This window comes from Homo sapiens, chromosome 16 (assembly GCF_000001405.40).
Source record: "Homo sapiens chromosome 16, GRCh38.p14 Primary Assembly".
In the NCBI taxonomy this organism is placed as follows: domain Eukaryota; kingdom Metazoa; phylum Chordata; class Mammalia; order Primates; family Hominidae; genus Homo; species Homo sapiens.
Genome location: NC_000016.10, coordinates 89,387,266 through 89,400,761, shown reverse-complemented (window position 1 = coordinate 89,400,761; position 13,496 = coordinate 89,387,266). Strand labels below are relative to the sequence as shown.

At 51.3% G+C, this 13,496-nt stretch overlaps 2 protein-coding genes across 6 annotated transcripts in view, besides 1 other annotated feature; both read left to right on the top strand.

The window, feature by feature from the left end:
• ANKRD11 (ankyrin repeat domain containing 11) overlaps positions 1 to 13,496 on the top strand; it is a 222,932-nt gene that overhangs the window by 89,800 nt on the left and 119,636 nt on the right. The gene's annotated exons all lie outside the window — the stretch shown is intronic.
• The window catches only part of LOC128462377 (uncharacterized), a 101,247-nt gene that overhangs the window by 17,531 nt on the left and 70,220 nt on the right, over positions 1 to 13,496 (top strand). The gene's annotated exons all lie outside the window — the stretch shown is intronic.
• Positions 4,890 to 5,828: an enhancer, noted in NCBI's record as "H3K4me1 hESC enhancer chr16:89461342-89462280 (GRCh37/hg19 assembly coordinates)". NCBI's record gives its function as "activates a minimal SCP1, AML or CMV promoter by ChIP-STARR-seq in primed H9 embryonic stem cells {active_cell/tissue: H9 hESC(primed)}" and the evidence as "EXISTENCE:reporter gene assay evidence [ECO:0000049][PMID:30033119]".

Genomic DNA, 13,496 nt, shown 5'->3' with positions numbered 1-13,496 from the left:
GATGACCATCCCCCAGCGCAGGGAAGCCTGGGGCAGCAGATGACCGGCCCCCAGCGCAGGGAAGCCTGGGGCAGCAGATGACCGGCCCCCAGCGCAGGGAAGCCTGGGGCAGCAGATGACCATCCCCCAGCGCAGGGAAGCCTGGGGCAGCAGATGACCGGCCCCCAGCGCAGGGAAGCCTGGGGCAGCAGATGACCGGCCCCCAGCGCAGGGAAGCCTGGGGCAGCAGATGACCATCCCCCAGCGCAGGGAAGCCTGGGGCAGCAGATGACCGGCCCCCAGCGCAGGGAAGCCTGGGGCAGCAGATGACCGTCCCCCAGCGCAGGGAAGCCTGGGGCAGCAGATGACCGTCCCCCAGCGCAGGGAAGCCTGGGGCAGCAGATGACCGTCCCCCAGCGCAGGGAAGCCTGGGGCAGCAGATGACCGTCCCCCAGCGCAGGGAAGCCTGGGGCAGCAGATGACCGTCCCCCAGCGCAGGGAAGCCTGGGGCAGCAGATGACCGTCCCCCAGCGCAGGGAAGCCTGGGGCAGCAGATGACCGTCCCCCAGCGCAGGGAAGCCTGGGGCAGCAGATGACCGTCCCCCAGCGCAGGGAAGCCTGGGGCAGCAGATGACCGTCCCCCAGCGCAGGGAAGCCTGGGGCAGCAGATGACCGTCCCCCAGCGCAGGGAAGCCTGGGGCAGCAGATGACCGGCCCCCAGCGCAGGGAAGCCTGGGGCAGCAGATGACCGGCCTCCAGCGCAGGGAAGCCTGGGGCAGCAGATGACCGGCCCCCAGCGCAGGAAGCCTGGGGCAGAGGCTGCCCTCTCTTGTGTCACTCGGCTTACTCTGCTTCTTGGTCCTGGTGCACTGGACCTTCCTGTGCTCTGGGAGCCGATTCTGTGCTGTGTGAATCCAAGCCCTGTGCTCTGGGACCATTTTGTCTTTCTGACAGGATGGTCACTTTAAAAAAAGTAGACTTTATTTTTTATATTAGCTTTAGGTTCACAGCAAAATAGAACATAAATTACAGAGGGTTCCCCCGCACCCCTGGGCTCAGCATCCCCACAAGAGCGGCCATTTGTTATAGTCGCGACCGCCCTGGAGACAGTGTCATCATCACCCACAGGCCGCACGACCTCAGGGTCCACCGGGTGCTGTGCAGTCTATGGTTGGATGAACGTATCCTGATGTGGACCCACCGTTGTGGTATCATACAGAGTAGTTTCACTGCCCCAGGTCCCCCGTGTTCCTGCTGCACATCCCTCCGTCCCTCCCTCTCCCCAGCCCCTGGCATTCGCTGATCTTTGTGCTGTCTGCACGGTTTTGCCCTTTCCTGGATGTCAGAGTCGGAACCGTACAGCGTGTAGTCCTTGGAGACGGGCTGCTTTCACTCAGCAGCATGCGTCTATGGTCCTTTTTTGTCTTTTCAGGGCCTGGTAATATTCTGTTGTCTGGATGGACGCCGGGTGTTTAATCCACTCACCTATGAGTGTCTTGGGTCACTTGTAGTTGTCTCTCTGGGCTTCTCTTACGGATAAATGAAGAATAAACAAAGCCAGCCACTGGCCCCTGAACTCGGTTCTGCCTCTGACTTGTCTTGATGAGGAGGTGTCCTTGCGTGGACTCGTGCTGTGTCATCATGCTCCTGCTCCGTGTTCGGAGCCACCTGGGCTGTGACAGGAGGTCAGTGTTCAGGGATGATGCAGTTTCTGTTGAGGCAACACTGAAAATGCCTTGCTTGGAAACTGCGTCTCACAGAGCATGGAGCTTGTTAACAATTTTAAAAAACTGATGATGCTGATGGGAGAGAGGGATGATGGGAGTCTGTCTGGGGTCTTTGAGGCCTTGTCCAGAGACTGCCCCAGGATCCTGGGTGGCTGTGCACAGCCAGCTGAGCCATGTGCCTGCCACTGCATCTGTACTCCTGGGCCAGAAAGCACCTTTGCTTAGCCCACCTGATTTTTCTGTCAGAGACTAGACGAGTAATTTCTAACCTGGGCTTGAGACACTAACAGTGTATTGGGATTTTTTTTTTTGGACACACAATCTCTCTCTGTCACTGAGGCTGGAGTGCAGTGGCACAGTCATATAGCTCACTGCAGCCTCAACCTCCCGGGCTCAAACCTTCCTCCTGCCTCAGCCCCCTGAGTATCTGAAACCACAGGCAGGTGCCAACACACCCAGCTATTTTTGTTTTTTTATTGTTTTGTTAAAAAAAAATTTTTTTTAAGAGATGGGGTCTCCCTGTGTTGCCCAGGCTGGTCTCACACTCCTGGGCTCAAGCAGTCCTCATGTCAGCCTTCCAGAGTGCTGAGGTTACAGGTAATCTTCAGCTGTTTCACAGTGTCCCTCTTGTCAGCCTCCCAGAGTGCTGAGATCACAGGTAATCTTCATCTGTTTCACAGCGTCCCTCATGTCAGCCTCCTAGAGTGCTGAGGTCACAGGTAGTCTTCAGCTGTTTCACAGTGTCCCTCATGTCAGCCTCCCAGAGTGCTGAGGTCACAGGTAATCTTCACCTGTTTCACAGTGTCCCTCATGTCAGCCTCCCAGAGTGCTGAGGTCACAGGTAATCTTCAGCTGTTTCACAGTGTCCCTCATGTCAGCCTCCCAGAGTGCTGAGGTCACAGGTAGTCTTCAGCTGTTTCACAGTGTCCCTCTTGTCAGCCTCCCAGAGCGCTGAGGTTACAGGTAATCTTCAGCTGTTTCACAGCGTCACCAGATTCTCCAAACACAATTTAATTTTATTCACATAGACAGTGCTACATTGTCACTGGTGACAGGCGCTTTGTGGTTGTTTTTGGTGGGTGAATATTGCACCGATTCAACAACAGGAGATCAGTGTCTGAGGGTCCTGTGTTGCCACCCGAGGCACCTGCTTTGACCAGGGATGGAGAGTCCCATGCCCAGGACGAAGGTTTGTGTGCTGGTGGTGAGCTAGCTGGGAGACGTGGCACGGGCCGCTTGTCCCTGGCCACCGCCTGCTGCCAAGGGCTCCACTCCAGTCCCTTGCCTGTCAATCAGAAGATGCTCAGAGGAGAGGCTTCTGCATCATCTTCATCTTGACATTCCAAGAGCAGTACCGGGTCAGCATCCACAAAAGCACACTGTAAAACTGGGAACTGTGTCTTACCCTTCCTGAGTGAAAAGGGAAAGTTTATGCCTCAGCCTGAGGCAGGTGGGCCCCTTGCCATGCACACCTTTGTCCTGCAGCCAGGGATCCACTTGGCTGGGCTCAACCCTTCCCCGTCAGGGACGACTGCACAGAAAGGAGCGCGGATAGCAGCAAGGCCCGCCACGGGGAAGGCCTGCTTCCTGTGGGTCCCCCTGTGTGGCTGGCAGGGAGTGGTACGGCGCTGGGAGTCCAGAATCACTGAGGACACGGAAAGCTTCAGCTTCTTTGAGAAAACTCAGATTTTGTAAATGCGCATCCAGTTGACAGCACTTACGGTGGAATCCGTGGAGTTGGACTTGTGAGAGGCCTTGCCCTGAGGGGGTTCTTGGCTGGTGTCTGTCCTGGAGGTGGATGCCTTGATGGCTGTGTCTCCCGTGCTCCCCTCACCCAGGTCCTCATCCTCAGGACTGTGAGACGCCGTTGGACGTGGAGGAGCCTGAGGAGCTCTGGCTCTGTGGGTATGTCTGCTGGCATTTGCCAGTTGAAACCTGAAGGATTGGAAAATGTCTGTATACCAATTCCAATTAACAACAGGAATAATAAGCCCATTGCATATAAGCAGCACATTCTTTAAAAAAAAAAAAATCCTGTATTTTCCAGTATAAAAAATTAGTGATCTGGTCAAGTCCCCTGGCTCATGCCTATAATCCCACCAGTGCTCTGGGAAACCGAGGCAGCTGGATCACCTGAGGTCAGGAGTTTGAGACCAGCCTGACCAACATGGTGAAACCCCGTCTTTACTAAAAATATAAAAATTAGCCGGGTGTGGTGGTGGACACCTGTAGTCCCAGCTACTCGGGAGGCTGAGGCAGGAGAACGGCGTGAACCTGGGAGGCGGAGGTTGCAGTGAGCCAAGATGGCGCCATTGCACTCCAGCCTGGGCGACAGAGTAAAACTCCGTCCCAAAAACAACAGCAACAACAACAAATAGCAATTAGAGGAGCATTTCCTTAAAATTGTACAAACCCCATTAATGTGTGGCTTCATAGAAGACAGCAGGGTTCTCCTCGCTGTTCCTGCATCAGTCTGTGGTAAATATGTTGTTCTAGTTGAAGTATACAAAAAAAAAATCTAGTGGGAAAATGGAAGCATATTTTTAATAAATAGCTTTTTGATATAATTATGGAGATTTTCATTGATACGACACCAAAACCCAGCAGGTGTTTGTGCTGTGAGCGTTTCCAGCAGCAGGGGAGTCTCAGGGCTTCCCTTTGGTCTCTCTTGCGGCGAGTGCGGCTCCGTCGCGTGTGTGTGGGAGTGTGCCTGTGTGTCCACATCTGGAGGTGACCCAGGTCAGCACACAGTGTGCACCCAAGGGCCGATTGGGTGCCCGGGACTCGTGTGCATCTCCCGACGTGGATCCACTTGATTTTACTACATCAGAAAGCAGCACCTGTCTCTTCCAGGGAGACTTTTAGTTCTTCAGAAGCTGTCTGCTCTTGGAGTTTTCCAAAATTCTTATCTTTGAAAGCTTGAATTTTCACATTGACAACAAGTTGTTGAGGTGTTCTGGCTGAACTTGCAGCTGTCTTTCCTTCATTTTTTAGAAATGATCTGCCAGTACTCATGTCCGAACAACCAGAGTTTGCATGTCGGTCGGTCATTCTTTGACTGAAGATTGGTGCTTCCTGTCCAGAGGCCGCTGTGTCTGGTGTGCGGCAGCAGTGCTTTGTGCATACTTGTTTTGTCATGAAGGATATGCACAAGATGAATGCTGCGTGCTCGGGACGTAGTGCGTTGAAACAGTCTTGCCGCACCACCCCAGCAGTCCTCCAGTGAACTGGCTCATCAGTGCGGTGTCACCCAGCTGAGAAGGCATTGTTATTAAGCAGGTAGTTTTACACCTGGGAAGCAAGTGTACCAAGCTATTCAGTCTGTGTGCTGGGTGAGAAAATGTTGTTGAATGAATCAGGTCAGTCTGTGTGCTTATTGACAACTTTTCAAACATTTCACACCCTTAGAAGAGTCTGTATCACTTACCTCCCCTGATACCTATGCTTGCAAATGTGTGTGCAGTTTCAGAGGGTTCCAATGTGATGGCCCATTGGTCCCCTCCTGGGATTCTCATGGACAAGTAAGATTCGGTTCCCCGTTCGGGTGGGTCTGTGCGTCTGTTCCTGGGCGCATGCTCACAGAAGCAGCACGTGTCCCAGCCGTGGGCTGGCATCCCAGCGCTGTCTCCTCTCTTTGATCTTTGCATGCCAGTAGCAAGCGGACCATGTCCCCGCAGTGCAGGACTGGGCTCTTATGTAACAGCTTGCCGTCAGGGTTCCTTCCACACCGACGCTGCTCCCAGGATTACGGAGCTGGAAAGAGTCCAGCCCATTCCTCTGGCAGTACGCAGCCCTTCCCTGGGGCTCAGCCAGTTTACTTGGCTTGCATAATTCTTTCTGTTAAGACGCTGCCTTAAAATTGACCAAGCCTCTAACTTTTTAGACCAGGAGTCTCTTGGATCGTTTGAGTGGTGGTGTTGCCTGTTCTTGGCCCTCTTTCATCTTGTCCTGTGCTTCAGCCTGGTCACTTGGTTTAATAATTTGTCTTTGTTTTTCCAAATCCTGCAGAACTTTTAAGATGATCTGGATTGCAGTGACTTAAAATCATACCGTGATGTATTTGCTGGTTTGGAGATCTTTTTAACAGGGGGTTCTCTCATCAGCTCTAAGTAGCCTTGGAAAAACTGTCGCCTCTGAATTGGCTGCAAACAAAGCTTTAGGCTTTCCAACAGTGCTACAGCCAACCTGCCTTAATTGGAAATGAGGAGTCTGGACGTTTGAAAAATAACTCAATAACCTCATGTGTGTAACTCTCGGGGCCATATATTATGGAGATGGCTGTGTGTAATTTTACAGCATCCTTGATGGAGCCTTTGTCATAAAACACGACTCCTGTATATGAAAGCAGTCTTCGCAGGTTTTATTGAGACGAGGAGTGGAAAATACACTCGTTTTTCCACAAAAGGTTGTTTGTTTTTTTTTTTTTGGAGACAGAGTTTTGCTTTTGTCGCCCAGGCTGGAGTGCAGTGGTGCGATACTGGCTCACTGCAACCTCCGCCTCCTGGGTTCAAGCGATTCTCCTGCCTCAGCCTCCCGAGTAGCTGGGATTACAGGTGCCTGCCACCACGCACAGCTAATTTTTGTATTTTAATAGAGACAGGGTTTCACCATGTTGGCCAGTCTGGTCTTGAACTCCCGACCTCAGGTGATCTGCCCGCCTTGGCCTCCCAAAGTGCTGGGATTACGGGCGGGAGCCACTGTGCCTGGCCCACGAGCTGTTTTTCTGATGAGAAGTTTCCTGATGAGTGAGAGCAGTGTGGCAGGTGTGGAGGAGAGGCGGACGGCTGCTTTCCAGGGACATGGGAGACCACTGTGGAACTGCAGTCCCAGAACGTGCCCATGTCGTGGAGGGAAGCAGGTCAGAGGCTCCTGCCACCTGCCCGTTGACCTCAGGAGGACATTGTGCTTGCAGCAGCTGAGTGGCCTGGGAAGCCTGCCTGGAACCTGGGACTGTGATGGGTGGAGTCTCCAGGAGGGCTAGGGAGGCGGGGAGGAGCACCCTGTGAGCTGCAGGCACCGCTGTGTTGCAGTCAGCAAACACTGGGGTCTGGGAACCCACTTTCATGTTTGGCACCTAGTGGTTTGAGCTTCACTTATTCGTAGCCCTCACAAGTAAACTAGTCTCTATTACAAGCACTTTCTTCGTGACTTTTTGGCTTTTGTTTTTTGACACATTTTCCTCATGCAGATCAGCATGATTATTCCCACTGTCTGACATGTCTCCTCCTATTCATTAAATACTTAGAGCCTGTTTCATGCGAGATGCCATGCAGAGCTCTGCCAGATTCCAGAATGAAGGGCAATAGGCCCAGCTGGGATAGTTCCTGCATGTTTCCATCGGCCCGGCTGCTTCCCCTTCTAACCCTTACAAATCCTCTGAGGTGGACGTGATTACTCCACCTAAGAGGAAACTAGGCCGGGCGCAGTGGCTTCCTCCTGTAATCCCACCACTTTGGGAGGCTGAGGCGGGCAAATCACTCTGAGGTCGGGAGTTCGAGACCAGCCTGGGCAACATGGTGAAACCCCGTCTCTATTTATTAAAAATACAAAAAAAAAAAAAAAAAAGCAGCTGGATATGGTGGCACACGCCTGTAATCCCAGCTACATGGGGGACTGAGGTGGGAGAATTGCTTGAACTCAGGAGGCAGAGGTTGCAGTGAGCCAATATTGCGCCACTGTACTCCACCTGCCTGAGTGGTCTCGCACTACAGAGCAAGCCTCCGTCTCAAAAAAAAAAAAAATAAAAATAAAAAAAGTAAAAAAAAGAGGAAACTAAAGTTTAATGTGTACAGTGGACTCTCTTGGTCCCAGGGTGGGAGCCATGTCACCTGTGGGAACAGGTGAATGAGGCTGGCGTCGTGCTCTCAAGGTATTTATGATGTAGCAAGAAGGTGCCAGGTCCTGAGGGAGACTTCCAGAGGCTCCTGTGAGAGAAGGTATGCAGGTGAAGAAGAGGGAGGGAGACCGTGTTTCCTGGGGACTGGGCTTGCCGGAGGCTCCACTGAGGGTTAGCATTTGCATAGGCCTTGAATAAGAAGTAGAATGTGAAGAAATAGGCTGGAGTTTAGAAAAGGAATTTTTGGGGAAACAGAAAGGGCCTTGGTGACTGTAGATCACTCACTCATTTCAGATGCAGGCAGGTCCCAAGGTGGTGATTAGACACAAGTTCACTCTCAAAGGTGCTTTCTTATGTAGTTGATGGAGTCGGTTAAATGTATTCCCAGTTTTCTTTTTTCCTAACCTAGTGTTTAGAGAAAAGCAGCCTTGGGGGACTTCCTATCCACGAGTTTGCTTAAGTGCAGGTTCTGGGTGTGCCGGACATCCTAGATACCGTTGTCTGTGAACTCAACCATGTTGATTGGGTCTGCTCTTGTAGGCTGACATCCGAAGTGCATTACAGATGCTGAGTTGATCGTTAACTTCTGTAGCTGGGATCTGAGGGACAACCAAGACAGGTCTGCTTCAACACATCACGACCATGTTCTTGAACTGCATGGACCCTGGAGCATCTCAGCGTGGCATCACAGTGCTGCTCATGGAAAACATGAACTGGCAGACCCATTGAGACATTTTCAAAACATAAACATTGTTTTTCTTATTTCCATCGTTTACCCATTGTAGAAAATGTAAGAAAACATGAAAAGGGTGAAAATCTAACTTAAACTCCCTTATACAGGTAATGAATTTTAGCTTCTTGTGATCCTTCAGGAATGGGCCATCAGTGTGTTTGAAATGCTTGCTCCCTGGTGCCGTAAAGAAATAGCACTTGAACGTAAATTTAATTTCCTCAGCAAGGCCATTTTTTATACCTTCTGCAGAAAGGGTACACTCGCCTGCAGTTTTGCCACGAGAGTACACCGAATGAAGGAGACCAGGGTCATTTATAACCTGACGCTGTGTCCGGTTTTTTTATACCAACTGCTGTGTCCGGTTTCCATTGGCTGGAACGGGACCTCACATTCTGTATTTGTCCCGATTGGCTAGCAACTTAGAACTTTTTAAAAGAGGCAAAGGCAGAGGAGAACAAAGGAAGGAGGAAGTAATTTGTGGAATGCTGAGAAAGGTAAAAACACCTTCAACTAAGGAAGAGGAACAGGCCGTGACCTAATGCTTGCTTCGACCAGTATAAGCATGCCAGGGCAGATATTTAGGCTAAATTGTGGGAGCTAAGAACATAAAGTACATTGATTTCTTTATTAAGGCTAGCAGATATTTAAGAATGTCAGTACAGGTCTTTGAATAAATGTTGCTTTTAAGAGAAGTTACTATTTATTTTTAGTTAGATGGGGAGGAAAGTCTTTGAAGAGGAACCTCTGCTTTACTTCTTACAAGTGTGCTTACTGATTCTCTGTCAGCTTGTCCTCTCAGTGATTGAGAACAGGGTATTAAAATCATTACTGAGTTTGTGGTTTTGTGTATCTGTCTGTGTAGCTTGACTTCATGTATTTCTAAGCTCAGTTAGTAGGGGTTCTGAGGGGGAAAACTCAGATTTTTCCTTTGCTCTCATGCCACAGCGACAGTCAACACAGAAAACGCAAAAGACGTCTGTGACCAGTTGTGTGGGCTTTCTGCCCAGCAGCAGGGAGGCAGTCAGTTCTGTGGCGGACACCAGCTGGGTGTCCCACAATCCCGTGCAGCCTGGACACTGTCTACCTGGAGACGGCACGGGGTCCACCAGGGAGAGGACTGAGTCCCGCAAGACTGCCAGCACTCCAGCACCCACCGCAAGCCCTGGGTTCCTGTGGCTGTGCTTCTCAGCGACCTGCCCTGAATCTGGGGTTCCGTGACCCCTCCTTGGGTTCAATCATTTTTTTTTTTTTTTTTTTTTGAGACAGAGTCTCGCTCTGTCGCCCAGGCTGGAGTTCAGTGGCGCGATCTCGGCTCACTGCAAGCTCCGCCTTCCGGGTTCACACCATTCTCCTGCTTCAGCCTCCCGAGTAGCTGGGACTACAGGCGCCCACCACCGCGCCCGGCTAATTTTTTGTATTTTTAGTAGAGATGGGGTTTCACCGTGTTAGCCAGGATGGTCTCGATCTCCTGACCTCGTGATCCACCCACCTCGGCCTCCCAAAATGCTGTGATTACAGGCGTGAGCCATGGCGCCCAGCCTGGTGCAATAATTTTATGAGAGTGGCTCACACAAATCAGGGTGACACTTACATGTTCACCAGTGTCGTGGAAAGGATTTTGCAAAGGATATGCACAGTCAGATGCGGAGGGCAGGGCATGTGGGGAGCAGCGCAGAGCTCCAGGAACCTCCTCCCCAGAGTTAGACAACCATTACCAGCAGCATTGTTTTTGAAAGATTTTCACAGGTGTTTTTCTGCAGGACTTACGGGTGCTGGCCCCTGGCTGTGTGCTCACTGTTTCCCCGAGAACCTGTCGTCCCTTTTGCCTGTTCTTCTTTACCTAGTTTCTCACCTTTGACTGCCTTTAAGATTTTCTTTTCACCTCTGTGATGTGCCTTGGTCAGGTTCTCCATGTTTTGTGATTGGGATTTGTTGAGCTTCTTGGATCACTAGAGTTTACAGTTTTCATCAAAATGTGGAAATGTTCAGGCTTTATTCCTTCACGTATTTTTTTCTGCCCTCCACCTCCTTTGGGAGCACCCCTTACCGTTGGTTAGGCTCCTGCACCTCACCCACGCCACACTCGGGGTTTGATCCAGTGATCTTCTCTCTCTCAGTGCTCCCCGCCACACTCGGTGTTCGCCCCAGTGATCTTCTCTGTCTGTGCTCCACGCCACACTCGGTGTTCGCCCCAGTGATCTTCTCTCTCGGTGCTCCCCGCCACACTCGGTGTTCGCCCCAGTGATCTTCTCTCTCGGTGCTCCCCGCCACACTCGGTGTTCGCCCCAGTGATCTTCTCTCTCGGTGCTCCCCGCCACACTCGGTGTTCGCCCCAGTGATCTTCTCTGTCTGTGCTCCACGCCACACTCGGTGTTCGCCCCAGTGATCTTCTCTGTCTGTGCTCCCCGCCACACTCGGTGTTCGCCCCAGTGATCTTCTTTCTCTCGGTGCTCCCCGTCACACTCGGTGTTCGCCCCAGTGATCTTCTCTCTCGGTGCTCCCCGCCACACTCGGTGTTCGCCCCAGTGATCTTCTCTCTCGGTGCTCCCCGCCACACTCGGTGTTCGCCCCAGTGATCTCTCTCGGTGCTCCCCGCCACACTCGGTGTTCGCCCCAGTGATCTTCTTTCTCTCGGTGCTCCCCGCCACACTCGGTGTTTGCCCTAGTGATCTTCTCTCTCGGTGCTCCCCGCCACACTCGGTGTTTGCCCCAGTGATCTTCTCTCTCGGTGCTCCCCGCCACACTCGGTGTTTGCCCCAGTGATCTTCTCTCTCGGTGCTCCCTGCCACACTCAGTGTTTTTGCTCATGTTTGAGTTGTTGACATGCCGTTTCTCTGAGTTCACAGATCTTCTGAATGCCTGTTCTTCTGTGAATCCCACCCAGTGTGATTTTCGTCTCACACAGCGTCATCTTCATCTCTAGAGGTTCATTCCAGTGTCTTTTCCTAGCTTCCGTGTTTTTAGTTTTTGACCGTGGGGAGGAACTGAGTTACACGATTTCATGTCTCCATCTACTAATTTTGCCTTCTGTGTCAATTCTGGGTAGCTTTTGATTGACTTTTTTTTCTCCTATGTAATCATATTTTCTTATTTACATGCCCAGGAATTTTTTTCAATATACTTTTTATTTTTGAAAAATTTTAGGTTTACAGCAAAGTTGTAGGTCGGGTGTGGTGGCTCACGCCTGTAATCCCAGCACTGTAGGAAGCCAAGGTGGGAAGATTGCTTGAGCCCAGGAGTTTGAGACCAGACTGGGCAACGTAAGGAGACCTCATCTCTACTAAAAGTAAAAAAAAAAAAATTAGCCAGACGTAGTGGCGTGTATCTGTCATCCCAGCCACTCAGAAGGCTGAGGTGGGAGGATTGCCTGAGCCCTGGAGGCTGTCGTACCACTGCACTCCAGCACTGTAATCCATTGCTGTCCTATTTATTTTTTGCTCAAATTGTTCCACCTTCCATGCCTGAGAATATTTGATGGGATGCTGGACATTGTGAATTTTACCTCATTATGTGCTGGATAATTGTATATTCCTGTAAGTCATCTTGGGCTTTGTTCTGGGATCCACATAGTTCCTTGGAACCTTTTTGTCCCTTTCAGCTGTTGCTTTTAGGATTTGTGAGACAGGCTGGAGCTTGGTTCAGTTTTGGGTTCATCATTCCCCGGGCTGTGGCAGTGCCTTCCAGAACCTTCTTCCCAGGGCTGCGGACAGGGATCTGGCTGGGCAGTGGCACCATTCCAGACCTGTGTGAGCCCGGGACCTGCCGGCTCTTCTTTGTGTGGATGACGTCCTGTCCGCTAAACCTCCAAGGGGGTCCCCGGCTCATCGCAGGGCTCCTGCTCTATGCAGCCTCCTTCAGCCCCATCTTCTCAGGTGCAAATATTTTCCAGTGATCCTTATTCCCAGTCAGAGACACACATGCAGCATTCAGGCTTTTTTGTCATCTCGTGGGCTTTTTTGTGACGTGTGTGCGTTCGACAGCACCACAGGGAAACGCAAATCTTGCTTATTTTCTATTCCGTGTCGATTTTCAAGACATTAAAAATCAACCTCATGGAGGCTGGGCGTGGTGGCTCACGCTTATAATCCCAGTACTTTGGGAGGCCAAGGCGGGCAGATCACGAGGTCAGGAGTTCAAGACCAGCCTGACCAACAGAGCAAGACTCCGTCTCAAAAAAAAAAAAAAAAAAAAAATCAGCCTCATGGAGAGAAGAGAGCACCCGGCACCACCCGCGTGGGCCCTGGAGCAGGGTGATTGCGTCGGAGTCAGGTCTTTGTGGTGGTGAATAGTCTGGTGTTAGTGCTGATTTTGGAATTAGATAATTTCACTGTGGTTATGTTTATGTATGATGTTAGCATTAGGGAAGCTGGGTAAGGCTGTACAGGGACTCTGAACTATTTTTGCAACTTTTTTGTAAGTCTGAAGTTTAAAAAAGGAACCTAACAGATGAGCACAGTCCTTTTTTTTTTTTTTTGAGATGGAGTCTTGCTCTGTTGCCCAGGCTGGAGTGCGGTGGCACCATCTCGGCTCACTGCAGCCTCTGCCTCCTGGGTTCAAGAAGCGATTCTCCTGCCTCAGTCTCCCCAGTAGTTGGGGAGACCCGACCACCACCCACCACCACGCCTGGCTAATTTTTTTGAATTTTTAGTAGAGACGGGGTTTCACCATGTTGGCCAGGCTGGTCTTGAACCCCTGACCTCAAATGATTCACCTGCCTCAGCCTCCCAAAGTGTTGGGATTACAGGCGCAAGCTACCGTGCCCGGCCAAGCACAGTCTTTTTTTTTTTTTTTTTTCTTTTTCTTTTTTTATTTTTGAGATGGAGTCTCGCTCTGTCGCCCAGGCTAGAGTGCAGTGGTGCAGTCTCGGCTCACTGCAAGCTCTGCCTCCCGGGTTCCCGCCATTCTCCTGCCTCAGTCTCCCGAGTAGCTGGGAGTACAGGCGCCCGCCACCACGCCTGGTTAATTTTTTTGTATTTTTAGTAGAGATGGGGTTTCACTGTGTTAGCCGGGATGGTCTCGGTCTCCTGACCTCGTGATCTGCCCGCCTCAGCCTCCCAAAGTGCTGGGATTACAGGAGTGAGCCACCGCGCCCGGCCCAAGCACAGTCTTAATAGAAACTTCACAGACCTGTGGTGCAGAGTGGGAGGCCTGACTATCCCTCTGCTGTCCCCTCACCACAGACGCAGCCCCTTCCTTCTGTTCGAGGGGCACTCCCACCATT